The following is a 25,906-nucleotide window of genomic DNA, read 5'->3' on the forward strand; positions in this document are numbered from 1 at the left end:
ACCTTGGTAGCACAGGACACTTGCCCACTGCCCTATTTTTGGCTCAGAAAACGATATCTTCAGCTGGGTGCAGTGGCTCACGCCGAGCTGGGCGGATCACCTGAGGTCAGGAGTTCGAGACCAGCCTGACCAACTTGATGAAACCCCGTCTGTACTAAAAATACAAAAATTAAGGCTGGGCGCAGTGGCTCACACCTGTAATCCCAGCACTTTGGGAGGCCGAGGCGGGTGGATCACCTGAGGTCAGGAGTTCGAGACCAGGCTGGCCAACGTGGCGAAACCCCATCTCTACTAAAAATACAAAAAAAAAAAACAAACAAAAAAATTAACTGGGCATGCTGATGGGCACCTGTAATCCTATCTATTTGGGAGGCTGAGGCAGGAGAATTGCTTGAACCCGGGAGGTGAGTTCAACCACTGAGCCGAGGTCGTGCCACTGCACTCCAGCCTGGGCAATGAAGTGAGACTCTGTCTCAAAAGAAAACGATATTTTCTTACCTATGGGGTCCCCTCTGGTTTTCAGGACTCACAATGCCTGCAGGAAGCCCACCTCAGGTCTCACTGTAGCCCCCCTGGTGGGGAAACCCCTCTGCCTCTAGCAGGGCAGGCAGAAAAGATGTGTTTGGAATAAATAATGAGCCTATGGGAGAGCCACTCCCATCTTGGTGCAAATATTTGTGTGTGAATCACTCATCTGGACAGTGGGACTGGATTGTGGTTGACAGTGAGCCATGCCTGGGGGGCTGTGCAGGGGACATTGTAGGGGTGCAGGGCCATGTTTACTCCAGATCCCAGCAGACTTCACTTTGAAGCTGGCCCCTGACTCTTTGTGCTGTGTGACCTTGGGCGAGTTGCTCAGCCTTTCTGAGCCTCTACATCCTCATCTGTAAAATGGGGAGAGTACTGTTGTGTTTGTAGTGTTGCTGAGGTGGGTTGCGAGATGCCCATCAGCAGCACAGCTCCTGCCACTGATGGCTGCAACGCAACTGTGATTTCTCAGAAATGTCATCCCAGGCCCAGCTAGCCCTGAGGCCCAGGTGGGGTTTTGAGGGAAAGGGATCTGGCTGGGAGCAGTGGCTCGGGCCTGTAATCCCAACACTTTGGGAGGTTGAGGCGGGAAGACTGCTTGAGTCCAGGAGTTTGAGACCAGCCTTGGCAACATAGCAAAACTCCATCTCTACAAAAAAAATAAAATAAAATAAAATTAGCCAGGTATGGTGGTGTGTGCCTGTAGTCCCAGATACTCAGGAAGGATTTGGGACGATCACTTGAGGCTAAGAGTTTGAGACCAGCCAGGGCAACATAGCAAGACTCCATCTCTACAAAAAATAAAATAAGTAGCTGGACACGATGGCACACACCTTAAGTCCCAGCTACTTGGGAGTCTGAGGCAGAAGGATCACTTGAACCCAGGAGTTGGAGGCTGCAGTGAGCTATGATCACGCCATTGCGATCATAGGCTGGGTGACAGAGCAAGAGACCCTGTCTCTTAAAAAAAGAAAGAAAGAAAAGAAAAATGATACTCAACCCTTGTCCATTGGGCCTGACTCTCACCTCCCACCTCTACTTTGTGAGGAAGGGACAGGGTGTTAATATGTCTTCATTGGAGGGTACTGGGGCCCAGAGAGGGGAAGGAAGTTCTCCAGCATCACACAGCCACTCGAGGCTGAGCCTCCACTAGACCCAGACCTCCTGGGGCCTGGCCTCATGTACGTTCCTGAGACTACAGGGTTTTGGTGAGGGGCTGCCCTGCCATCTGTTGCTGTACCCTAGGGAGGGGAGGGTGTGGCCCGGGCTGGACTCCTCCAAGTTGCTCTGTCCCTGGGTTTTGGAAGGGGAGGGGCCGCTTCATGAAATTGCACCACCTGGCCAAGGCTCGGGCAAGCCCAGGTTGGATGCAGGTGGCCAGGCTTTTCTGACAGGTGAGGGCAGAAGTGGAAGTAATGCAGGTGTTCAGAGAAAGGGCCGGATGTGTGTGCATGCGCACACCCAGCTACAAAACAAGGGGTGCCATTCCTCAGGGACCAGGCCATTAACGTGAGCCACCCGTCTGATGCGTAGTCACCCGCCGGGGTGACGGGGGACTTCCTGGACTCTGCGGCCTGATCCTGCCTGTCTGGTGACATTCCTGATCTGGAGTACACATTGGGCCTGCAGTGGGTGCTTTGGTGTTTGTGGAATGAATGAATGGGCTGGCGGCACCCACTGATGAGCATCTGCCAAGATGTCTGTGTGCGTGGAGGTGGCAGGTGTGGTCCAGGTACCCGATAACGGATAGACACCTGTACAAAACAGCCTCTTCTCCAATGCCTGGTGGTGGTGAGGGATGGGGGTGTGGCTATTTTGCAGTTGGATGGTGTGGACACTTACAAGTCAACTAATCCCGATGCTCTGGACTCCTGTCTGTAAAATGGGATGGCGTAGGTGTGGGCTGGTGGTGCCTGGTGGGTCCCGCCCAAGCCCCAGAGAAGGGGCTGATGGCAGCTAGTTGTTATTTTTATTACTAAATCATGGCTCAGCCCAGCCTGGCCTGGCAAGCCCAAGTTCCTGGTGGATGTCTGCCTCTTCCACGCCCGCTTGGAAGCCTTCTGAACCTCCTTTTTTTTTTTCTTTTGAGACGGAGTCTCACTCTGTCGCCCAGGCTGGAGTGCAGCGGTGCGATCTCGGCTCACTGCAACCTCTGCCTCCCGGGTTCAAGCGATTCTCCTGCCTCAGCCTCCCAAGTAGCTGGGATACAGGTGCACGCCACCAGGCTCGGCTAATTTTTTTATTTTTAGTAGAGATGGGGTTTCACTGTGTTGGCCAGGCTGATCTCAAACTCCTGACCTTAAGTGATCCGCCTGCCTCTGAACCTCCCAGATTTCATCGGTTCCCCACCGTACTCTCCTGCCTCTAGCCTTTGCCCAAGCTGACCTTGGCCCCAGTCTTCCCCACTGAACAGCCACCCAGCCTTTGGGGCCAGTGCTCCTGGGCCGATGCCAGCCATCCATCCTGGATGTGCCCACGCCTGGTCACTCCCCACATGAGGAGCTGATGATCTTTGGTCACCGTTTATAAACTTTAGCTTCTCTTTCCTCACCCAGGAGCTCCAGGGCAAGGAGTGGGCCTGATTCACCCCCGTTCAGGGACTGGGTCCTAACAGGTGTGGTGAAAATGAGCACTTAGTCAGCGTCCCACAGCATCTAAAAGACGGGAACAAGGGCTGAGGATGTGGGTAGGCCCAAGACTGGAAATAGGGAAGCCTCTGGAATGGGGACTAGAAGATGAAAGGGCTCTGGAAGATGGGGCATCCAAGTGTTTAAAGCAAGAACGGGGCTGGGCGTGGTGGATCGCGCCTGTAATCCCAGCACTTTGGGAGGCTGAGGAGGGAGGATCACTTGAGGCCAGGAGTTTGAGACCAGCCTGGCCAACATGGTGAAACCCCATCTCTACTAAAAATACAAAAATTAGCCACACATGCCAGTGCGCACCTGTAATCCCCGCTACTCAAGAGGCTGAGTCAGGAGAATCACTTGAACCTGAGAGACAGAGGTTGCAGTGAGCTAAGATCGCACCAGTGCACTCCAGCCTGGGCGACAGTTTTTTTTTTGTGTCCAAAAAAAAAAGAGGTGCGGGGAGGGCCAGAGGGCATTTGGGGTGGGACGGGGCAGGGCAGGGCTGGGTGACTGGAATGGGGTGACTATAATGAATGCTTTGGAGTAGGTCAGGGCAGGTGGGGAGGCCAGATGCCAGGGGAGGGAGGGGGCATGGGGATCCTTCCATCTGGGGCCAAGGATGGCAAGGCCCTCAGACAACTTCTAGCCCAGGTTCTCCATTGACAGATGGAGAAACTGAGGCCCAGGGAGGGGCAGTGCTAGTGCTGAGGTTTTACATAGCAGGTGGGCTGTTCCCCAGCCCACTGCAGGGCATAGCCTGCCCTGGGACACCTGTCCTCACCCGTTGGCTCAGTGGTTGCAGGGGCATGGGTGGGTAGAGGTCGGGGAGTGAGCCGGCTCAGGCGGGCAGGGCTGGGGGCCCCGTGAGCCAGCGCCCCAGGATTAGATCACCCACGAGTAATGGGCTTTTTTCCGTCCAGCCTTTTCCCGACAAGAAAAGGCCTGATGTTCCTCATCCGTGTTGTTCTGAGAAGGCATGTTTATGTCTGGCAAGCGAAGGGTTCTTGGGAGACAGGATCCCAGGGCCCCCCTGCACTGCCTGGCCCCAGGGGTTGGCACCGCCCCAGAGCTGGTTTCCTCCCACTGTCTCCTGACACCCAGCCCCCACGCTTTTCAGATGCCTGCCTGAGAACAAATAAATACTTCTGCACCATGCACATGAGCTCAGATAAGCCTCCGGGGCTCAGCCAGAACTGGGGGCACCAAATGCCCGGGTTCCCTGACCCCTAGCTGGGTGCCAAGCCTGCATTTCCCACCCAGCACTCCCCAACCGCCCCTTGCGTGGAGGGACAGAGATATACTGTGAGCAACACGGGACCTGATGTCAGGGGTGGACAGCAGCTCGGCGGGTGATGTCAGCTTGAGCAATCGTCCCCGTCATCACTGCTGTTAAGTGAGCGGGCACTTGGTGTCCCCAGGCCCAGCGCCAGGCCCTGTTCACACATTCTCACGTGGGGCTCTCACAGAGCTGAGAGCAGTAGAATTACCATCACCCTTTTGCTCAGTGGGGAGAGGAAAGTTTGAGCATTGTGTGTGTGTGTGTGTGTTTAGAGACAGGGTCTTGCTCTGTCACCCAGGCTGGAGTGCAGTGGTGCGATCATAGCTCACTGTAGCCTAGAACTCTTGGGCTCAAGCGATCCTCCCACCTCATCCTCCTGAGTAGCTGGGATTACAGGCACATGCCACCACGCCCAACTAATTTTTATGCTTTTAGTAGAGATGGGGTTTCACCATGTTGGCCAGGCTGGTCTCAAACTCCTGGCCTCAACTGAACCACCCACCTCAGCCTCCCAAAGTGCTGGGATTATAGGCATGAGCCACCAGCCCCACCTTTTTTTTTGAGATAGGGTCTTGCTGTATTGTCCAGGCTGGAGTGCAGTAGCGTGATCATGGCTCACTGCAACCTCTGCCTCCTGGGCCCAAGCAACCCTCCCACCCCAGCCTCTGGAGTAGCTGGGACTACAGGCACATGCTATCACACTAGGCTAATTAAAAAAAAAAAAATTATAGAGATGGGGTCTCACTATGTTGCCCAGGCTGGTCTCAAACTCCTGGGATCAGAAACCTGGTGGTCATTCCAGGTGCCTCCCTTGGGACCCCCCGTCGCCAGCTCCTGGTCCCAAAGCTCTGCCCCGTCCTCCATCCCCTGCTGCTGTCTGCTTCATGCCTGGCTGTCTCTGGCCTGGGCTGTCGCAGAGACTTGGCAACTCCTGGCTCCCCAACTCCAAGCATGACCCGACAGTTCCTCCGCCGTAGCTTCCTGGGATCCCCCTCACTGCCCACGTCTCACCCCTGCCCCACACCCTGCAGCGAGGCTGACCTTCCGAGATCCTTGGCCTCACCCCAATGGCCACGCTGGTCTCTGCCCACCACTTCCTGCCCTGCCCTGCACACTCCAGCCATGCAGAGCTGGATTTGTTCCCCACCCACCCACCCACTCCCACAGCCTCTGGCCCCGCTCAGGCCCGACCAGGACACGTGGGCGGCCCAGGCTGGCGGTTGGGTTTCCTGGGCAGCCAGTAATTTGGCACTCCTTCAAACAGGTCTTTATTTATTCAGCATTTATTTCTAGGGGAGGTGGGTGCTGCGGTGGGGCAGGGAAGGCGCCTCCCTTGTAGAAGAGCAGGGCCTGGGCACAGTGCCTGTCTCCCCTCCTCACCTGCAAACGCCAACTCCCCTGGGAGGGTCCCGGCAGCTCAGGTGTCACCTCCTCCAGGAAGCCCCACCCTGACTGCCTCACCCGCCGTCCTGGGCTTCTTCCATGCCACTTATTTTTATCTTTCACTGAAGCATAATTTACTTCCAGTAAAGTACATGAGTACATGAATCTTTTTTTTTTTTTTTTTTTTTTGGAGACAGAGTCCTGCTCTGTCATCTAGGCTGGAGTGGCGTGGTCTTGGCTCATTGCAACGTCCCCATCCTGGGTTCAAACAATTCTCCTGTCTCAGCCTCCTGAGTGGCTTATAGGCGCGTCCACCATGCCCAGCTAATTTTTGTATTTTTAGTAGAGACGGGGTTTTGCCATGTTGGCCAGGCTGGTCTCAAACTCCTGACCTCAAGTGATCTGCCCGCCTCGGCCTCCCTAAGTGCTGGGATTACAGTCGTGAGCCATCGCACCCAGCCCAAGTACATAAATCTTAAGCATCCCGTGTGATGAATTTTCCCCCGACTTGTATACTCATGTAACCATCACTCAGCTCAAATCCTTGCACTGTGTTTTAATCTTTTTTTTTTTTCCCAGTAGTCTATTTTTTTGGTCATTTTCCCTGCCAGCCTGGGAATCCTTCAAGGGCAGGAGCACCTGCTGTTGGGCCCTGTGCGGTGTGGGACACAGTGTGAGAGAGTATTGGTGCCTGTGAGCTGGTGGCTGTGTCCCCACCCCTGTGATTGTCCCCACGTGTGTGTGTGACGGAGGCTGTGGCCGTGGGAACATGTGGATCTGTGAGCCTGGCCAGGGGCCCCAGTGCAGGGGCAAGCGCCCCCTCCTCCACTGGAAGAGAGCCTTGTCCGATCCCCCAGCCAAGGGCCTTTGCAGGGAGCCGTGGCCCTGCTGGAGAGTCCCCGCCGGCTGACAGCCCGGAGATTAGTCTCCAAGGCCACAACGCCAGTTGCCATAGGCACGCAGGCCCGCGTCAGGACTGCGATTTCTCATCCTGGTCACGCAGGCAGGCGGCCGCCCCTGCCCGCCTGCCAGGAGCCAGGCTCAGGCTTTAAATAACAAGGGTGGAAACCTGAACCGCGGAGCCGTCTGCCCGGCGGATCCTGGCCTCCCCTCCTGGTAGAGCAGGCATGGGGCGGCCTGGACCCCGCATACTGCCGGCGGCGGCGGAGTCCCTCCGTGCCCGCCCCGGGGGACGGGAGAGAAATGGAGAAACCTGAGTTTGGGGGCTCTCTTTGAGTGCTCCTAGTACCTGATGCACAGCCCGAGCTGAGAGGAGACAGCCCCTTTTCCTAAATCCCGTCCTCCACGTGGAGGAAGGACGCCCTACCTTCCAGAAGCCTAGATGAAGGGCAGATGGGGCTTCGCATGGCCAGGCCTCAGATCGGCTTCCCCCAGCCCCTCCAGGGAAGAGGCAGGCGGCTCCCTCACTTCCCCTTGGAAGGCAGCATGAATCCCTGTACTTCCTGGACTGCCCCTTTGCCCCCGCCTGGGGCCAACTTTCCTGTCATGGGGTGGAGCAGCTGTGTTGGATGGTTGGTTTTGCTTTTTGTTTTGCTCTATTTTTTATTTAAAAGGAAAATTTTTTTAGAAATGAGGTCTTGCTCTATCGCCCAGGCTGGAGTGCAGTGGCGCAATCCCAGTTCGATGCATTCTTGAACTCCTGGGCTCAAGCCATCCTCCCACCTCAGCTTTCTGAGTAGCTGTGACGACAGGCGCGTGCCACCACGCCCGGCTCATATTTTAAATTTTTTGTTAGAGATGGGGTCTTGCGATGTTGCCCAGGCTGGTCTCAAACTCTTGGCCTCAGGCAATCCTCCTGCTTCTCTGGCTCCCAGAGTGTTGGGATTACAGGAGTGAGCCACCACGCCCAGCCTGCTTTTGTTTTTAAAGGATGAGGTTTCTGTTGTTTCTTTCCAAATTGTAAAAGTAATACTTACCTTAGGTGACTTAGAAAATACAGAAAAGTAGAGGGAAGCAAAGTCAGGCATGGATCCCACCCTGAGATGCACGGTCTGGAGTTTGCATCCCGGGCTGCACTGTGTATGCCCCTGAGGTCATCCTGTCCAGTGTTGGAATCAGCCTCTGCTGGGCATCAGGTTGCCTGCACCTACTCCTTGTTTATATGTGGGTGTGTGTATCTGTGGATGTACCAAGTGAAAGCTTTGGGGAAACATCTTTGCATGTAAATCTTTGCATTTGGGATAATTAACTCAGGATTAATTTATAGAATTATAAGTCCTGGAGCGAAGGGTGGGAACAGAGTTAAAATTGAACTTCCTGAAACACGTCACAGCGTCACCAAATCGCTTGGCTGGGAGGACTGTGTGCACCCAGGGCCCTTCTGTGGGGTGGGCCAGGATTTAGTGTGAAACTCATGGCTGCTAGGCTGGGAAGAGCTCGACCACAGGTGTGGGGTTTTGTCTCCAGTGACATTCCCAGCTGGCTCTTGCAGCCCCTGCCCTAGTGACAGCATGGGGTGAGGGGGCCAGAGGAGGCTGGAGGTGGAGCCCTGCCTCTAGGCGGAACTGTACCATCTGTAGTTGCAGGGCAGGATTAAAAAGGGACAGTTTTGCTGTTTGTTTGTTTGTTTTTTTCTGTCATCTGACTGGGTGTCCCAATACCTGATGTCTCCTAAAACTTTTTTTTTTTTTTTTTTTTTTTGAGACGGGCCTCCTTCTGTATCCCAGGCTGGAGTGCAGTGATGCAATCTCGGCTCACTGCAGCCTCAACCTCATGGGATCAAGTGATCCTCCTGCCTTAGCCTCCCGAGTAGCTGGGACGACAGGCATGTGCCACCACACATGGCTAAATTTTAAATTTTTTGTAGAGTCAGGGTCTCTCTGTGTTGTCCAGGCTGGTCTCAAATTTCTGGGCTCAAGTGGTCCTCCTGCCTCAGCCTCCCAAAGTGCTGGGATTACGGGTGCGAGCCACTGTTTCTGGCCTTATGCACACTTTTCATTGAGAACAAAGTTATTTGTTGTAAGAGAAACACCTTGATAACTGTTCACACACTAAACTACCCAGGTAACCAGCACCCAGATCAAGAAACAGCATTGACAAGCCCCTCTCACCCCCTTCCAGTTACTACCACTCTCCCTGACCCACCACGATAACCGCCGTTCCATCTCCTGGCTTCAGAATGTGGCCTCCTTTTGAACCTTACATAAATGGAATTCTACCATGTGACCTCAGATTCTTTCATCATCCTTGCGAGATTCCACCGTGGTGTTGCGTGTCTTTGTGGTTTGCTCATACGTCTGATGCCTTTTCCAATAGACGGGGCACCCAGGAGGAGTCAGTGGAAACACATGTACCGTGGAAACAGATCAGGTCTTGCGCTGAAATTCGGATACCTCTGAATTACTGCCCATCGTCAAAGAAATAAAGTTTATTTCCCTAAAGGATGTTTTGTGGTGAATAGGAAAGAATTTGCAATCAGCGTAGCTGTTAAGCCCACAGGAGAGCAAGTTGTATTATGTTGTGAGCCTGGGTTGGGTGTGCAGAGATCTGGGGTTCAGTCTGACGCCTCTGGGCCGTGGTTTCCCTAGATGGACATGCAGGTGGTTAGATGAGGGGCCCATCTAGCTCAGTGCTGTGATGCTAAGCATATACTTCTCAGTGCTAAGAGGTTGTTTTCCAAAGTGTTTGAAGTTTGCTCTTAAGATCTTATTTAGGCCGGTCACAGTGGCTCATTCCTGTAATCCCAGCACTTTGGGAGACTGAGGCAGGATTGCTTGAGCCCAAGAATTTGAGCCCAGCCTGGGCAACATAGCAAGGCCCCATCTCTAAAAAAAAAAAAATTTTTTTTTTAATTAGCTGGGCATGGTGGCATGTGTCTGCAGTTCCAGCTACTTGCGAGGCTGAGGGAAAGAATCGCTTGAGCCCAGGAATTTGAGGCTGCAATGAGCTATGATTGCAGCACTGCACTCCAGGCTGGGTGGCAGAACAAGACTGTCTCTACAAAAAAAATTTTTAAAAATCAGGCATGGCAGCATGCACCTGTAACCCCAGCTACTTGGGAGGCTGAGGCAGGCGGATGGCTGGAGTCCAGGAATTTGAGGCTGCAGTGAGCCATGATCGTGCCACTGCATTCCAGCCTGGGTGACAGAGCGAGACTCCATCTTTACAAAACATTTTTAAAAAAATTAGCAGGGAGCTACTCGGGAGGCTGAGGCCGGCAGATGGCTTGAGTCCAGGAGTTTGAGGGTGCAGTGAGCCATAATCACGCCATTGCATTCCAGCCTAGGTGGCAGAGCAAGACTCTGTCTCTTTAAAAAAAAAAAAATCTTATTTACCAACTTGGCTCATTTCTAAGTGGAGCAAAAATGCAGTGTCTCACTTCTGCTCTGCCTGAATTACCTCCAGGCCAGATTTCTTGGTGGAAGGAAGGAGCCGTGTAGATACAGCCAGAGTCTCCCAGGTGCAAAGACCCTCTGAGAGGCCTTGATAAGTGGGCAGCTTCCACTGAGCAGCCCCCAGAGATGGAGACTCAGTGCCCACACAGCAGCTTGTTCTTCCATTCTGGGACAGTTCTTCCCATTAGGAATGTTCCCTTGTGTTGGCTGAAAGCCTGTGTCCCTAAATTCTCTGTCAGCGTAATGGCAATGAACCTGGACTTGGGTCTTCAGGAACCAAAGCCATGGAGTCAAGGATTTGGAGAGATGGTATATGCATCACCGGGCCTAACATGATGGTCTTTTTTTATTTTTAAATTGAGACAGGGTCTCACTCTGTCACCCAGGCTGGAGTGCAGTAGTGTGACCTCAGCTCACTGCAACCTCTACCTCCCAGGCTCAAGTGATCCTCCTGTCTCAGCCTCCCAAAGTACTGAGATTACAGGCATGAGCCACCACACCCGGCCATCCTTCTTTTTTTTTTTTTTTTTTTGAATTGGAGTCTCACTCTTTCACCCACCCAGGCTGGAGCGAAGTGGTGCGATCTTGGCTTACTGCAACCTCCACCCTCCGGGTTCAAGCAATTCTCCTGCCTCAGCCTCCCGAGTAGCTGTGATTACAGGCACCTGCCACCACAGCCAGCTAATTTTTGTATTTTTAGTAGAGACGAGATTTCACCATGTTGGCCAGGCTGGTCTCAAACTCCTGACGTCAGGTGATCCACCCGCCTCAGCCTCCCAAATGTTAGGATTACAGTCATGAGCCACTGCACCCAGCCTGTCTTTCCTTTTTAAGGCTCAGTAATATTCCATTGTATGGATAGACTGTGGTTTTTTATCCATTCATCATCGGACGCTGGGACGGTTTCTGCCTTTTGGCTATTGTGAATACTGATCCTATGAACATGGCTGTACAGATGTGTCTTTGAGACTATTACTGTTTTATTAACAACATTGCTGTAATGAGGGATCTCAAATCTGGAGTGGATCTGAGAAATCGCCTCTTTCAACCCCTTATCCAATGCTTGAGTCCTTCCTTCCAGAATCCCACTGAGACTTCTTCTGGCCTCAGATGCGTGGGTGGGAGACATGCCACCTCCCGACACCTCTGACCAAGGGCCCGGAGCTGGGTGGCTTAGGGTGCAGGAAAGAGGCTTGTGAGTGGGATCATGCCAGAGGGATGTGCATCAAGGCATCCTCTAGCTACAGATGCCCCAGGGGAGGCAGCAGTGGGGCTGCTGCAGGAGAAACCTGGAATGGATGTTTGGACACACTTTCCTCAATGGCCAGGATTGATGGACAGTGGAATTCATCAGACGAGTCTTGGAGACTGAGGCCTTTAAAAATAGATGCAGCTGGCTGGGTGCGGTGGCTCACGCCTGTAATCCCAGCACTTTGAGAGGCCGAGGCGGGCGGATCACGAGGTCAGGAGATCGAGACCATCCTGGCTAACACGGTGAAACCCCGTCTCTACTAAAAACACAAAAAATTAGCTGGGCGTGGTGGCGGACGCCTGTAGTCCCAGCTACTCGGGAGGCTGAGGCAGGAGAATGGTGTGAACCCAGGAGGCGGAGCTTGCAGTGAGCCGAGATAGTGCCACTGCAGTCTGGCCTGGGTAAAAGAGCAAGACTCCATCTCAAAGAAAAAAAAAAAATAGATGCAGCTGGGAGCAGTGGCTCACACCTATAATCCCGGCACTTTGAGAGGCCGAGGCAGGTGGATCACTTGAGGGCAGGAGTTTGAGACCAGCCTGGGCAACATAGCAAGACTCTGTCTCTACTAAAAATTTTTTAAAAAATTAGCCGGGTATGGTGGCGCAATCATGTAGTCCCAGGTACTCGTGAGCCTGAGGCAGGAGAATTGCTTGAGTCCAGGAAGGTGGGGCTGCAGTGAGCTATGATCGTGCCTCTGCACTCCAGCCTCGGTGACAGAGTGAGACCCTGTCTTTAAAAAAAAAGAAGAAGAAAGAAAAGAAAATGCCTCCCATGGAATCTGTTTCTTTTTTTTTTTGAGATGGAGTCTTGCCCTGTCACCCAGGCTGGAGTACGGTGGCATGATCTTGGCTCACTGCAACCTCCGCCTCCCAGGTTCAAGCAGTTCTCCTGCCTCAGCCTCCTGAGTAGCTGGGATTATAGGTGCCCAACACCACGCCCAGCTAATTTTTGTATTTTTAGTAGAGATGTGGTTTCACCATGTTGGCCAGGCTGGTCTCGAACTCTTGACCTCAAGTGATCCGCCCACACCGCCGTGGAGTCTATTTCTGTTAGGAATGTGTTTGTTGCAAGCAACCTGAGAAACAGAGGCTTAGGAGAGAGGGGTGTCTCGTGTAACAGGAGGCATGGGTGGGTGGTCCAGCCGCAGGCAGCTGCTCAGGCACATCTGAGGGGCCTGCGCCATCTCTCTCTCTCTCCTCTGGCTGAGGGCTTTGGTCATCCTGGCCTAAAGTGGATGTCAGCCACCAGGCAGGGCATAGGGAGTAAGGGATTGAGCCCCCCATTGCCTGCTTCCAGGGAAACTCTGCTCTTTTGTTTGGGAATGCCTCACTGGTTAGACTGTGTCTTGTGGTCATCTCTGGCTGCAAGAGAGTATAGGAATGGGAGGATTTTGTGTTGTGGCCCCTACAGAAGAGGAGAGCAAGGGAGAAGTTGGTTATATGGGGATTGAGGTACCAGCCACACAGCATCTGTCTGCCTCACAATCCCAGCACGTTCAGCTGGGCATGGTGGCTCATGCCTATAGTCCCAGCTACTCAGGAAGCTGAGGCAGGAGGATTGCTTGAGCCTAGGAGTTCAGGACCAGCCTGAGCAACATAGCAAGACCATGTCTCTACAAAAAAAAAAAATGAAAAAAAATAGCCAAGCGTGGTTGTGTGCTCCTGTAATCCCAGCTACTCAGGACACTGAGGGTGGCGTGGGGAAGATCCCTTGAGCCCAGGAGTTTGAAACCAGCCTGGACAACATAGCAAGACCCTGTCTCTAAAAACAAAGAAATGAGACGCATTAGACAAAAGTTCCCAAAAGTTGGACTCAGTGATGTAGATGAGAGAATTACAAGATAACTTTTCTTTTCTTTTTTCCTTTTGAGATGGAGTCTCTGTCACCCAGGTGGGAGTGCAGTGGCGCGATCTTGGCTCACTGCAACCTCCGCCTCCCAGGTTCACATGATTCTCCCTGCCTCAGCCTCCCAAGTAGCTAGAATTACAGGCACCCAACACCATGCAGGGCTAATTTTTGTATTTTAATAGAGATGAGGTTTCGCCATGTTGGCCAGGCTGGTCTTGAACTCCGGACCTCAGGTTATCGACCGCCTCGGCCTCCCAAAGTGCTGGGATTACAGGCGTGAGCCACTGCACCTGGCCAGGGTAACTTCTCTCTTTGTCTCTATTCCCTTTCTGAATATGAAAGCTTTCCAGTTCTACTTGATATCGTAAGAAATACTAAGTCACCCAAAGTGTAACACCTGTTTTTTGCAGTCTCCTATCTAAGAACTAACCAGACCCGACTCTGCTTAGCTTCTGAGATCAGATGAGATCAGGCTCTTTCAGGGTGGTGGGGCCGTAGACTGTTTTTGCAATCTCTAGGAAATTTTTTTTAAAGCCAGAGAAAGATAAATTATCCACATTACTTAAACAATTTTTAAAAATATACAAGAAAGCCTAGCTTATTTAAAGCCCAAAACACTGTAATTCCATTGGTAACAAAGATGTTAAACATTTAAAATGTGATTAAATCTAAAATTGGTGGCTTCTGAATAAACTGTAGTTTTGAATTTGATACAGCAAATCTGTGGCAATGTTGAACAAAACAACTTATACATAATGCATTTTTATATTTTAAACTAACAAAGATGCTTCAGAAATATAGAGGACATTTTTAAAAGAATTACTTATATTTTAATCTTTTCAAATTTTCCATTTTGTTTCCATCACTTCCATTTTTTTCAGAATATTGTGCCTCCTCAAACATCATGGTAAGAGGGTGGTGGGACTAGAGATGGAGCCCTCAGCATAAAAAATAAAGTTAGCCGGGTGCAGTGGCTCACACTCATAATCTAGCACTTTGGGAGCCCAAGGTGAGAAGATCACTTGAGGCCAGGAGTTCAAGATCAGCCTGGGCAACACAGTGAGACCCTATCTCTAAAAAGTAAAAATAAAAACTTAGCTGGGTGTGGCGACACACGCTGTGGTCCCAGCTACTCAGGAGGCTGAGGCGGGAGGATCGCTTGAGCCCAGGAGTTGGAGGCTGCAGTGAGCTATGATCACACCCACTTCACTCCAGCCTAGAGACAGAGTGAGACCCTGTGTCAAAATAAAGAATTGTAGCACACTCAGAATCTTCAAATCTTGCTCTGGGTATCAAAATCGGATGTAGGCTCTTCAGCTGCAGTTGGAAAGGAAATTGTAAAATAGACCTGTAGTCAAAAACAAATGGGTGACTTTACAACTGGTAAAGACTGACTTAAGTAGGATGTTTTTAGCTGCAAATGAAAGAAACCTCTGGCTGGGCACGGTGGCTCACGCCTGTAATCCCATCACTTTGGGAGGCCAAGGCAGGAGGATTGCTTGAGACCAGGAGTTCAGAACCAGCCTGGGCAACATAGTGAGACCCTGTCTCTAACAAGATTTTTTAAGTGAGCCAGGTGTGGTGGCAGGCGCCCGTAGTCCCAGCTACTTGGGAGGCTGAGGCTGGAGGATTGCTTGAGTCTAGGAGAGATCAAGATCGAGGCTGTAGTTAGCTATGATTGCATCACTGCACTCCAGCCTGGGTGACAGAAGAAAAAAAGAGAGAGAGAGAGAAGAAAAGAAACTCTAGTCCTGGGGGGGTAAAAAAGGAAAGAAGAAAAGAAACCTCTACTAAGAGTGCCTTAAGAAATATGGACTTTTGCCTGGGCGCGGTGGTTCATTCCTGTAATCCCAGCACTTTGGGAGGCCAAGGTGGCGGATCACCTGAGGTCAGGAGTTCAAGACCAGCCTGGCCAACATAACAAAACCCCGTCTCTACTAAAAATACAAAAATTAGCCGGGTGTGGTGGTGGGTTCCTGTAATCCCAGCTACTCAGGAGGCTGAGGCAGGAGAATCATTTGAACCCAGGAGGCAGAAGTTGCAGTGAGCCAAGATCGTGCCACTGCACTCCAGCCTGGGCAACAGGGTAAGACTCCATCTCAAAAAGAAAAAAAAAGACTTTTACTGTTTCACCCAAAGCTTAGAGATGGCAGATCTGGGGTCATACAGGACCAAGTTCTTCCACGAGTTCACCCTGCCATCCTCAGATACCCTCACCTCCCGGGCTGATTCTTTTCATGTCTCTAGTTGGCTGTCATGGTCGGGGGTGTCACATGCAGGAGAAGGAGGACATCCCTGGTTTCAGTCCCTTTTTTTATTTGAGACGGAGTCTTGCTCTGTTGCCCAGGCTGGAGTGCAATGGTGTGATCTCAGCTCACTGCAACCTCCGCCTCCTGGGTTCAAGCGATTCTCCTGCCTCAGCCTCCCAAGTAGCTGGGATTACAGGCATGTACCACCACACCTGGCTAATTTTTGTATTTTTAGTAGAGACGGGGTTTCGCCATGTTGGCCAGCCTGGTCTCAAACTCCTGACCTCAGGTGATCTGCCCACCTTGGCCTCCCAAAGTGCTGAGATGACAGGTGTGAGCCACCACTCCTGGCCTGGTTTCAGTTCCTTTCTAAGGGCAAGGACAGCTCTCCTAGAAGTCCCTCATGTCTCAGTGGCCAGAATTGGGTTCTGGCCTCTCCTTACACCTGTCCCAGCTAGGGGAAAAGGAGTGCCTTGCTCTGAGCCTTGGAGAATCACCAAAGTTCCTCCCAGGGACTGGGAGGGCCCAGCTGCCCCAAGCACTGGTTGTTGGGACAACCCAGCAAAGTTTGTCCCATCTTTAGATACCAGGACACAACGGGGGGATTCTGTTAGCAGGGAGTGGGGCAGAGGACTTGGAGGACAGCTTTTGGGGTCAGATCCAGGACTGGAACTCAGATTTTTTTTGTGTGTGTGTGTGACAGAGTCTAGCTCTGTCCCCTGGGTTGGACTGCAGTGCTGCAGTCATAGCTCATTGCAGCCTTGACCTCCCGTGTCAAGCTATCCTCCTGCCTCAGCACCCCGAGTAGCTGGGACAACAGGCACGCACCACCACACCTGGCTAACTTTTTTGTTTTTTTGTAGAGATGGGGTCTCACTGTGCTGCCCAGGCTGATCTTGAACTCCTGGGCTTGATCCTCCTGCCTTAGCCTCCCAAAGCACTGGGATTACAGGCGTGAGCCACTGCGCCCAGTGAGACCCCAGGTGTCTTAACCATGACCCCAGACTGCCTTCTACTGCACTGCGGCTGGGTGTAAGACCCCCTCCCGCTGCCCAGCCCAGAGCCTGGCCTGAGCAGATACGAATGGAAGGCCAGGGCTGTGACTGGCAGTGTTCTTCCCGGCTACAGTGACAGTGGTGGTGGGGGAGGGCAGGAATCCAGGACCCCCAGGCCACTCTACCCCCACTGGGGAGCCTCTGGGACTAGAGAGGGAGTATTCAGAGGGAGGCTGAGGCTGCTGGGGAGAAAGGATACCCCCCCCCCCGCCCGCCTTCCAGAAGGGGAGAAATTTCTTTTTTGTTTGTTCTCTCAAGCTTCTTTTTCAAGAAACAAGCATATGGCAGCGGATGGTGCGGGGGCCGTGTTTGGGTGGGGTGTGTGCCTGCCTTTGCCTTTTACGTGGTTGGGTGTATTTTTTTTTTTCTCCATCAGCTCCAACGCCCCAGCTGGTCCATAGGGCAGTGAGACTTGAATCACAGAGACGCTTCTCTGGTGTCCAGAAAAATCCGGCTCTTTCTAGTGGCGCTTCCAAGGGGGAAGAGATTGGAGAGCTCTCCAGCAAACCCAGGCCTGAGCTTTGCAGAGGTCTGAGCTGAGGACTGAGTGTCCAAGGGGCTGAGGATGTGGACTGTCTTTGTGAGGTGGGGTACAGCCAGTGAAGGAGCCAGTGTTAATTTCCTGAAGCTGCTGTAACACGGGCCACACAGACTTCGTGCCTTAAAGCAACAGAAATTTCAGGCCGAGTGCGGTGGCTCATGCCTGTAATCCCAGCACTTTGGAAGGCTAAAGTGGGCAGATCATGAGGTCAGGAGTTCAAGACCATTCTGGCCAACATGGTGAAACCCCATCTCTACTAAAAATACAAAAATTAGATGGGCGTGGTGGCAGGCACCTGTAATCCCAGCTACTCAGGAGGCTGAGGCACGAGAATCGCCTGAACCCTGGAGGTGGAGGTTGCAGTGAGCTGAGATCCCACTGCTGCACTCCAGCCTGGGTGACAGAGTGAGGGAGAAAAAAAAATTCTTTTTTTTTTTTTTTTTTTTTTTACTTTGAGGTTCTTGGGTACAAGTGTGCAGGTTTGTGACATAGGTAAACTTGTGTCATGGGGGTTTGTTGTACAGATTCTTTTTTCACCCAGGTATTAAGCCCAGTACCCAATAGTTATTTCTTATGATCTTCTCCCTCCTCCCACCCTCCACCTTCTGAAAGGCCCCAGTGTGTGTTGCCCCCCTCTCTGTGTCCATGTGTTCTCATTGTTCAGCTCCCACTTATAAGTGAGAACATGCAGTATTTGGTTTTCTGTTCTTGTGTTAGTTTGCTAAGGATAATGGCCTCCAGCTCCATCCATGTCCCTGCAAAGAACATGATCTTGTTCTTTTTTGTGGCTGCATAGTATTCCATGGTGTATACCTACCACATTTTCTTTACCCAGTCTATCATTGATGGGCATTTAGGTTGATTCCATGTTTTTGCTGTTGTGAATAGTGCTGCAGTAAACATACGTGTGCATGTGTCTTTATTGTAGAATGATTTCTATTCCTTTGGGTATATACCCAGTAAGGGATTGCCGGGTCCAATGGTATTTCTGTCTTTAGGTTTTTGAGGAATCACCACACTGTCTTCCACAATGGCTGAACTAATTTACAACAGTGTATAAGTGTTCCTTTTTCTCCACAACCTCACCAACATCTGTTATTTTCTTGTTCGTTTGTTTTTGTTTTTGTTTTTGTTTTGAGACGGAGTCTTACTCTGTTGTCCAGACTGGAATGCAGTGGTGCAATCTCAGCTCACTGCAACCTCTACTTCCTGGGTTCAAGCAATTCTCCTGCCTCAGCCTCCCGAGTAGCTGGGATTACAGGCACACACTACCATTCCCGGCTAATTTTTTTTTTTTTTTTTTGAGACAGAGTCTCACTCTGTCGCCCAGGCTGGAGTTCAGTGGCGTGATCTCGGCTCACCGCAAGCTCTGCCTCCCGGGTTCACGCCATTCTCCTCCCTCAGCCTCCCGAGTAGCTGGGACTACAGGTGCCTGCCACCACGCCTGGCTAATTTTTTGTATTTTTAGTGGAAACTGAGTTTCACCATGTTAGCCAGGATGGTCTTGATCTCCTGACCTCATGATCTGCCCACCTTGGCCTCCAAAAGTGCTGGGATTACTGGTGTGAGCCACCACGCCTGGCCCAGCATCTGTCATTTTTTGACTTTAATAATAGCCATTCTGACTGGTGTGAGATGATATCTCATTGTGGTTGTGATTTGCATTTCACTCATGATCAATGATGTTGATTGAGTCTTTTTTCATAAGATTGTTGGCTGCATGTACATCTCCTTTTGAAAAGTGTCTGTTCATGTCCTTTGCCCATGTTTTTATGAGAACAAGAGAAATTTCTATTCTCACAGTTCTGGAGGCCAAAGGTCCAAAATCATTACCACTGGGCCAAAATCAAGGTGCCGACAGTGCCATGCTCCCTCCAGAGGCTCTCGGGGGGAATCTGTTCCTGGCCTCTTCTAGCTCCTGGGGGCTGCCAGCACTCCTGGGCTTGTGGCCGCATCACTCCAGTCTTCAAGGCCAGCATCTTCCAATCTCTCTCTACTTCGTCTTCACTTGGACTTCTCTTCTATATGGATGTCCAGTCTTCCTCTACCCTATTTTTAAAAAATGTTTGTAGAGCTGGGGTCTTGCTGTGTTGCTCAGGCTAGTCTCAAACTCTTAGCCTCAAGTGGTCCTCCTGACTTGAAGTGATCCTGCTGCCTTGGCCTCCCAAAGCACTGAGATTACAGGAATGAGCCACTGTGCCTGGCATGACCTCTTCTTCTTCTTCTTTTTTTTTTTTTTTTGAGATAGGGGTCTCACTGTCTTGCTCAGGCTGGAGGGCAGTGACGTGATCTCAGCTCACAGCATCCTTGACCTCCTGGGCTCAGGGGATCCTCCCATCTCAGCCTCCCGAGTAACTGGGACTATAGGCATGCTCCACCACACCCAGCTAATTTTTTTTTATTTTTTGTAGAGATGGGGTCTCACTATGTTTCCCAGGCTGGTCTCAAACTCCTGGGCTCAAGCAATCCTCCTGCCTTGGCCCCCAAAGTGCTGGGCTTACAGGTATGAGCTACCGCGCCCGGCCATGACCTCTTCTTATAAGGATGCATGTGATGGCATTTAGAGCCTACCCGGCTAAGCCAGAATAATCCCCTACCTCAAGATCCTTAATCACATCTGCAAAGTGATTTTGCCATATAAGGTAACACAGGCTCTGGGGATTAGGACATGGCTGTCTTTTGGAGGTCATTTTTTTGAGCCTATCTCGGGTCTCTAAGGGCAAACTCCAGCAGCCATTCTAGTAGACAGGTTCTCCTGTGATAGATGCCGGCCAGGTAAAGGAGACAAATGGAAGATCCCAGCTGACCCACCTCGGCTCTGTCCCCTCTGAGGGGACCTTATTCTCATTTATGTGGACTCCCTAAGCCATATATCTAGGCTGGAGTGCAGTGGTGTGATCTTGGCTCACTGCAGCCTTGACCTCCTGGGCTCAGGGGATCCTCCCATCTCAGCCTCCCAAGCAGCTGGGACTACAGGCATGCACCACCACACCCAGCTGATTTTTTTATTTTTTGTTGAGATGGGGTCTTGCCATATTACCCAGGCTGGTCTTGAACTCCTGAACTCAAGCCGTGTCCACTCTCCCAAACAGCTGCCCCCTCTTGGGGGGTACAGCAGCGTCAGCCTGGTGTGCCCTCAGGGTGTATCCGTTATTTATCTTGGACTGCATAAACCAATAGCCCAACATTAGCAGTGTCAAACAACAGTCATTTCTTCTTTTACTCTTCACATTGTGAGAGTTGTCTGAGCTCAGCCAGATGGGTCTTACTCAATCTCTCCTACAATTGCAGTCAAAAGGTTGCCGGTGGGAGTTGGAGGCTGCAGTGAGCTACGATCGCACCACGGCACTCCAGCCTGGGCAACAGAGCAAGATCCCGTTTCTAAATAAAAAGTTAGCAGGGCTTGAGGTCATTTTGAAGATGTTTCACTTGCTGGCCCGGGGCCTGAGCCGAGGAACAGCTGGGGCCCCTTGGGCTTCTCTGCTGCCCCCCGGCCCCTCCAGCACGGTGGCCTCAGGATAGTCGGGCTTCCCACGTGTCAGCTCAGAGTCCAGGGCAAGGGTCTGAGAGTGAGTGAGTGGCTGGGGGAAGTCTAGCGCCTTTGGGGACCTGGCTGCAGAGGTCACGTGTTGGCGCTGCCCACACATTCTGTTGGTTCAAAGTGGGTCTTTATTCAAATCACATTCAAGAGGAGAGAATTAGATGACACCACTTGTTGGGAGAAGTATTAAGAACTTATTTATTTATTTTTTTCACTTTGGGAGGCCGAGGTGGGAAGATCCTTTGAGCCCAGGAGTTCGAGACCAGCCTGGGCAATATAGGGAAACTCCCATTTCTATTTAAAAAAAACAAAAAACCAAAAAACTTATTTATTTATTTTTTAGAGACAGGGTTCTCACTCTGTCACTCAGGCTGGAGAGCAGTGGTGTGATCACAGTTCACTGTAGCCTCCACTTCCTGGGCTCAAGTGGTCCTCTTGCCTCAGCCTCCCCAGTAGCTGGGACTACAGGTATGCACTACCATGCCTAGCTAATTTTAAATTTTTTTTGTAGAGATGGGGGGTCTCACTATGTTACCCAGTCTGGTCTTGAACTCCTGGCCTCAAGCAATCCTTCTGCCTCAGCCTCTCAAAGTGCTGGATTACAGGCATGAGCCACCACACCTGGCCTAAGAATGTATTGTCAGATTTAAAACCATTGCAGGAGGATGGACCAGAGAAGAGGGCCCTGGGGCCCCAGAATGGGGGTTTATCTGCCAGCTGGATTCCAGGGGTCTGAGTACCCAGGTGTCTGGGGTGGGAGAGTGGGTGCAGGCTCCAGGTGGGCGTGTCCCCTTTGGGAAGGGCGGGACAGGGCCCTCCAGAGCCCAGGCCCAGGCTCTGGGCTGAGGCTAGGACAGTCTCAGAGCATTTCCCGCTGGACAGCCCCAGAATCTGACTGCAGTCTGTGCCAAGAGCACTTCGGCGTTCTGCTCCACTCCTGCCAGCCCCACCACGGACGTCACACCCCATCGGGCTCCCTTGTGCCTTAGTGCCTTTGCCTGAGCTGTCCCCTCTGTCTGGACTGCCCCATCCCTCACCATTCACCTTCTTCATGGCTCATGATTCTTCCAAACTTGCATCAACGGCCCCTCTCTTCGGAGGCCTTTCCAGGCCTTGTTATGTGTAGCAGGCCCGGGCACACACAGATGAAAGCAATCAGCCCTGTTCTCCAGGAGCCAGTGCATGGGGGCTCTGACACCTCCACATCCTGGAGGAGGAGGGAAGGAGGGGCTGAGGGAGCCCAACCGAGGGGCACAACAGGAGGTGTTGACGAGCCCACAAGAGCTAAGAGGGAGCCAGCAGCGGGGAAGGGCATTTCTTAAAAAGGGCACAGCAGGTGCAAAGGCCTGAGCGAGAGTGCAAGGCCCACCCAGGGGCCTGCAGACTGGAGTGTGGGGCTCTGGAGGGAAGACAGGTTCAGCTTGATCTGTGATGTGACTCCTGATGGGACAGTGAGCCTTTGGAGGGTGAGGTCATGCCCTGCGCGTCTCTGTGTCCCAGCACGACTGTGGCTGGGGCCAGCCACCTTCTCTGTGAAGGTTTTCACTGCATTCAGACTGTGCTGGGACTGGCCCCAGGAGGACTTGGACTAGCGTGTGTGTGAGTGAGTGTGCATGTGTGCACACATGTGTCTGTATGTGTGGACATGCATGTGAGTTTGCATGCATGTGTGTGCATATGTGTGTATGCATGTGTGAGTGTGCATGCATATGTGAGTGCATTGTGTGCACAAGTACGTGTATGTGTGTATGCATGTGAGTGGCTATGCGTGCGTATGTGTATGGGGTGTCTGCATGTGGGTGTGCATGCGTGTGTGGGTGTCTGCATATGTGTGTATGCATGTGAGTGGGTATGCGTGTGTATGTGGGTGTGCATGTGTGTGGGGGTGGGGGTGTGCATGGGGGTGTGCATGTATGTGCATGTGTGTGTGGGTGCATGTGTGTGTGCATATATGTGTGTGATATATGTGGGTGTGTGTGCATGTGGGTGTCAATGTGTGTGCATGTGTGTATGCATTTGAGTGTGGGTGTGCATGTGTGTTCATGTGGGTGTGCACGTATGTGTGTGTGTGTGTGTTCATGTGGGTGTGCGTGTGTGGGTGTGCATGTATGTGTGGGTGTGTGCGTTTGGGGGGTGTACATGTGTGGGTGTGCATGTGTGTGGGTGGGTGTGGGTGTGCATGTATGTGGGTGTGCGTGTGGGTGTGCATGTATGTGTGCGTGTGGGTGTGTGTGTGAGTGTGCATGCATGTGTGTGTTGACTTGCTAGTGCTCACACTTACCTCTGGGGCAGAGATGTGCTTGTTAGGTGCCCCCTCCCTCTCTCCACTCCATTCCAGCAAAGGTCACTGAGTGTCCTCTCTAGTCTTAGGAACGACACTCGACAGTGGACAATGAGAACAACCAAACACTTCCTCTCTTCCCCCCTCCCCCCATTTTGAAAAATTCTATTAAGGCCAGGCATGGTGGCTTATGCCTATAATCCCAGCAGGTTGGGAGGCTGAGGTGGGAGGATTGTTTGAGGCCAGGTGTTCAAGGCCAGCCTGGGCAACATAGCAAGACCCCATCTCTACAAAAAAATTTAAAATTAGCCAGGCATGGCGGTGCACACCTGTAGTCCCAGCTGCTTGGAAGGCTGAGGTGGGAAGATGGCTTGAACCCAGGAATTTGAGGCTGCAGTGAGCTATGATCACACCACTGCAATCCAGCCTGGGCAACAGAGTGAGACTCTTTCTAAATAAAATAAAATAAAATATAAAAACAGAACTACTATACAATTCAACAGTTCCACCTCTGGGTATATACCCCAAATCATTGAAAACAGGTTTACCAAGTGATTTGCATACTCATGTTAATAGCAGCATTATTTGCAAGAGCGGAAACGTGGAGTGCAGTTGCACAGTCACACCTCACTGCAGCCCCAACCTCCGCAGGCTCAAGCCATCCTCCCGCCTCAGCTTCCCAAGTAGCTGGGACTACAGGTGTGCACCACCACACCCAGCTAATTTTTGTATTTTCTGTAGAGATGGAATCTTGCCAGGCTGGTCTCAAACTCCTGAGCTCAAGCAATCCTCCTGCCTCAGCCTCCCAAAGTGCTGGGATTACAGGCCTGAGCTACTGGACCTGGCTGGTAGTCCTATTTTTAATTTTTTGAGGAACCGCCATGCTGTTTTCCACAGTGCCTGTACCATTTTGCATCCCTACCAGCAGCACACAGGGTTCCAATTTCCCCACGTTCTCACCAGCTCTTGTTTTTTTCCTGTGTGTGGTTTTGTTTGTTTTGTTTGTTTTTGTTTTAGACAGAGTTTCACTCTTGTTGCCCCGCCTGGAGTGCAATGGCATGATGTCAGCTCACTGCAACCTCCGCCTCCTGGGTTCAAGCAATTCTCCTGCCTCAGCCTCCCAAGTAGCTGGGATTACAGGCATGTGCCACCATGCCCGGCTAATTTTTGTAATTTTAGTGGAGATGGGTTTCACCATGTTGGTCAGGCTGGTCTCGAACTCCTGACCTTAGATGATCCGCCTGCCTTGGCCTCCCAAAGTGCTGGGATTACAGGCATGAGCCACCGCGCCCCGCTTTCTTGTGTTTTTTATAGTAGGTATCCTGGTGGGTGTGAGGTGGAGTTTAGATTTGCATTTTGCTAATCTTTAGTGATGTTGGACATCTTTTCATCTGTTTTATGGCCATTTGTATATCTTCTTAGGGGAAAGGTTTACTCAAGTCATTTGCCTATTTTTTAATTGGATTATTATTATTAATGGAGATGATGTCTCGCTCTGTTGCCCAGGCTGGTCTCGAGCTCCTGGCCTCAAGTTATCCTCTCACCTTGGCCTCCCAAAGTGCTGGGATTACAGGCATGAACCACTGCATCCAGTCTTAGTTGTTGAGTTTTAGGAGGTGTCTGCATATCCTGGATATTAATCCCTTACCGATATACTATTTACAAATATTTTCACCCATTCTGTGGTTTGCCTTTTTATTCCATTGATTCTGTCCAAAACTTCTCTTTACTCATAGAGCAAAGGTTGTATATCTCTAAACCAAGCTTCTTCCCTTGCTTCTCTCTGTGGAAACAACAGGGTATTATCCTTCCACTCCTGTACCCAGAGAACTCCTATTCACTCTTGAAAACCCACCTCAACAGTCATCAACTCAGGGAAGCCTTATTTGTCAGGCCCCTCCTCCCCCAAAACTAAGTAAATAAAACATTTAAATAAAACATAGGTAACCCCTTTCCCCATTGTCAAGCTCTGTGCCTGCGCGAGCTTCTCTGCTTGTCCTTCTTTCGTGGTCCTGTAGTTCTTTTTTTTTTTTTTAAATAAGATGGACTCTCACTCTTTCACCCAGGCTGGAGTGCAGTGGCAAGATCTCAGCTCACTGCAACCTCCAACTCCCAGGTTCTAGCAATTCTCCTGCCTCGGCCTCCCTAGTAGCTGGGACTATAGGCGTGTACCACCACCCCCAGCTAATTTTTTGTATTTTTAGTAGAGATGGGGTTTCACCATGTTGGCCAGGCTGGTCTCAAACTCCTGACCTCAAGTGATCCTCCCACCTCTGCCTCCCAAAGTGCTGGGATTACAGGCATGAGCCATCGCACCCAGCCTGGTCCTGTAATTCTCTCTGGACACACTGGCCCTGTGAGCTGGAGGAGGGCAGGCGGAGCCTGGCACAGAGCAGCCTCTTGGTAGGTGTTGAGTGAATGAGTAGGGGTGGTGAGGGGAGGCCACGGAAGGCACCCAGGCTGTGTTCCTCCCACTCCCAGCCTTGCCACGACCTACCAGGTCTCCAGCTCCTGCTGAGCTCTTGCAGGGTGGCCCCTCCCCACTTACAGCTCACTGCCTTGGACTAGGTCCCAGCCAATGGCCCGGCGGAGGTGTCCTCACTGTTCTTACCCAGTATGACCTAGGCGGGAGCCAATAAGCACAGGGAATGAGTATCACCCTGAGGGTTCAAAAGTGTGCAAGGAAGGGAGGAAGGGAAGGAAGGAAGGAAGGAAGAGAAGGGAGTGGGGGAGGGAGAGAGAGAAGGAAGGAAGGAAAGAAGGAAGGAAGGAAGGGAGCAATGAATGAATGCATACATCAAGGAATGAATGAATGCATATACACAAAGGAATGAATGCACACACCAAGGAATGGATGAATGAATGCACACACTAAAGAATAAATGAATGCACACAAAGGAATTAATGAATGTACACAAAGGAATGCATGCACACACCAAGGAATGAATGAATGCACACACCAAGAAA

General features: G+C 51.5%; 1 protein-coding gene and 1 pseudogene across 20 annotated transcripts in view, besides 6 other annotated features; one reads left to right on the top strand and one right to left on the bottom strand.

The window, feature by feature from the left end:
* The window catches only part of GTF2IRD1 (GTF2I repeat domain containing 1), a 148,700-nt gene that overhangs the window by 19,863 nt on the left and 102,931 nt on the right, over nucleotides 1-25,906 (top strand). The window lies entirely within an intron of this gene.
* Nucleotides 4,146-4,727: an enhancer, noted in NCBI's record as "H3K4me1 hESC enhancer chr7:73892244-73892825 (GRCh37/hg19 assembly coordinates)". NCBI's record gives its function as "activates a minimal SCP1, AML or CMV promoter by ChIP-STARR-seq in naive H9 embryonic stem cells {active_cell/tissue: H9 hESC(naive)}" and the evidence as "EXISTENCE:reporter gene assay evidence [ECO:0000049][PMID:30033119]".
* Nucleotides 4,728-5,310: an enhancer, noted in NCBI's record as "H3K4me1 hESC enhancer chr7:73892826-73893408 (GRCh37/hg19 assembly coordinates)". NCBI's record gives its function as "activates a minimal SCP1, AML or CMV promoter by ChIP-STARR-seq in naive H9 embryonic stem cells {active_cell/tissue: H9 hESC(naive)}" and the evidence as "EXISTENCE:reporter gene assay evidence [ECO:0000049][PMID:30033119]".
* Nucleotides 6,571-6,620: an enhancer, noted in NCBI's record as "active region_26160". NCBI's record gives its function as "activates an Ori minimal core promoter by ATAC-STARR-seq in GM12878 lymphoblastoid cells {active_cell/tissue: GM12878}" and the evidence as "EXISTENCE:reporter gene assay evidence [ECO:0000049][PMID:35858748]".
* Nucleotides 6,671-6,720: an enhancer, noted in NCBI's record as "active region_26161". NCBI's record gives its function as "activates an Ori minimal core promoter by ATAC-STARR-seq in GM12878 lymphoblastoid cells {active_cell/tissue: GM12878}" and the evidence as "EXISTENCE:reporter gene assay evidence [ECO:0000049][PMID:35858748]".
* Nucleotides 6,731-6,780: an enhancer, noted in NCBI's record as "active region_26162". NCBI's record gives its function as "activates an Ori minimal core promoter by ATAC-STARR-seq in GM12878 lymphoblastoid cells {active_cell/tissue: GM12878}" and the evidence as "EXISTENCE:reporter gene assay evidence [ECO:0000049][PMID:35858748]".
* On the bottom strand, nucleotides 13,660-13,772 carry RNA5SP233 (RNA, 5S ribosomal pseudogene 233; annotated as a pseudogene).
* Nucleotides 21,347-21,945: an enhancer, noted in NCBI's record as "H3K27ac-H3K4me1 hESC enhancer chr7:73909445-73910043 (GRCh37/hg19 assembly coordinates)". NCBI's record gives its function as "activates a minimal SCP1, AML or CMV promoter by ChIP-STARR-seq in primed H9 embryonic stem cells {active_cell/tissue: H9 hESC(primed)}" and the evidence as "EXISTENCE:reporter gene assay evidence [ECO:0000049][PMID:30033119]".

Source organism: Homo sapiens, chromosome 7 (genome assembly GCF_000001405.40).
Source record: "Homo sapiens chromosome 7, GRCh38.p14 Primary Assembly".
Classification (NCBI taxonomy): Eukaryota; Metazoa; Chordata; class Mammalia; order Primates; family Hominidae; genus Homo; species Homo sapiens.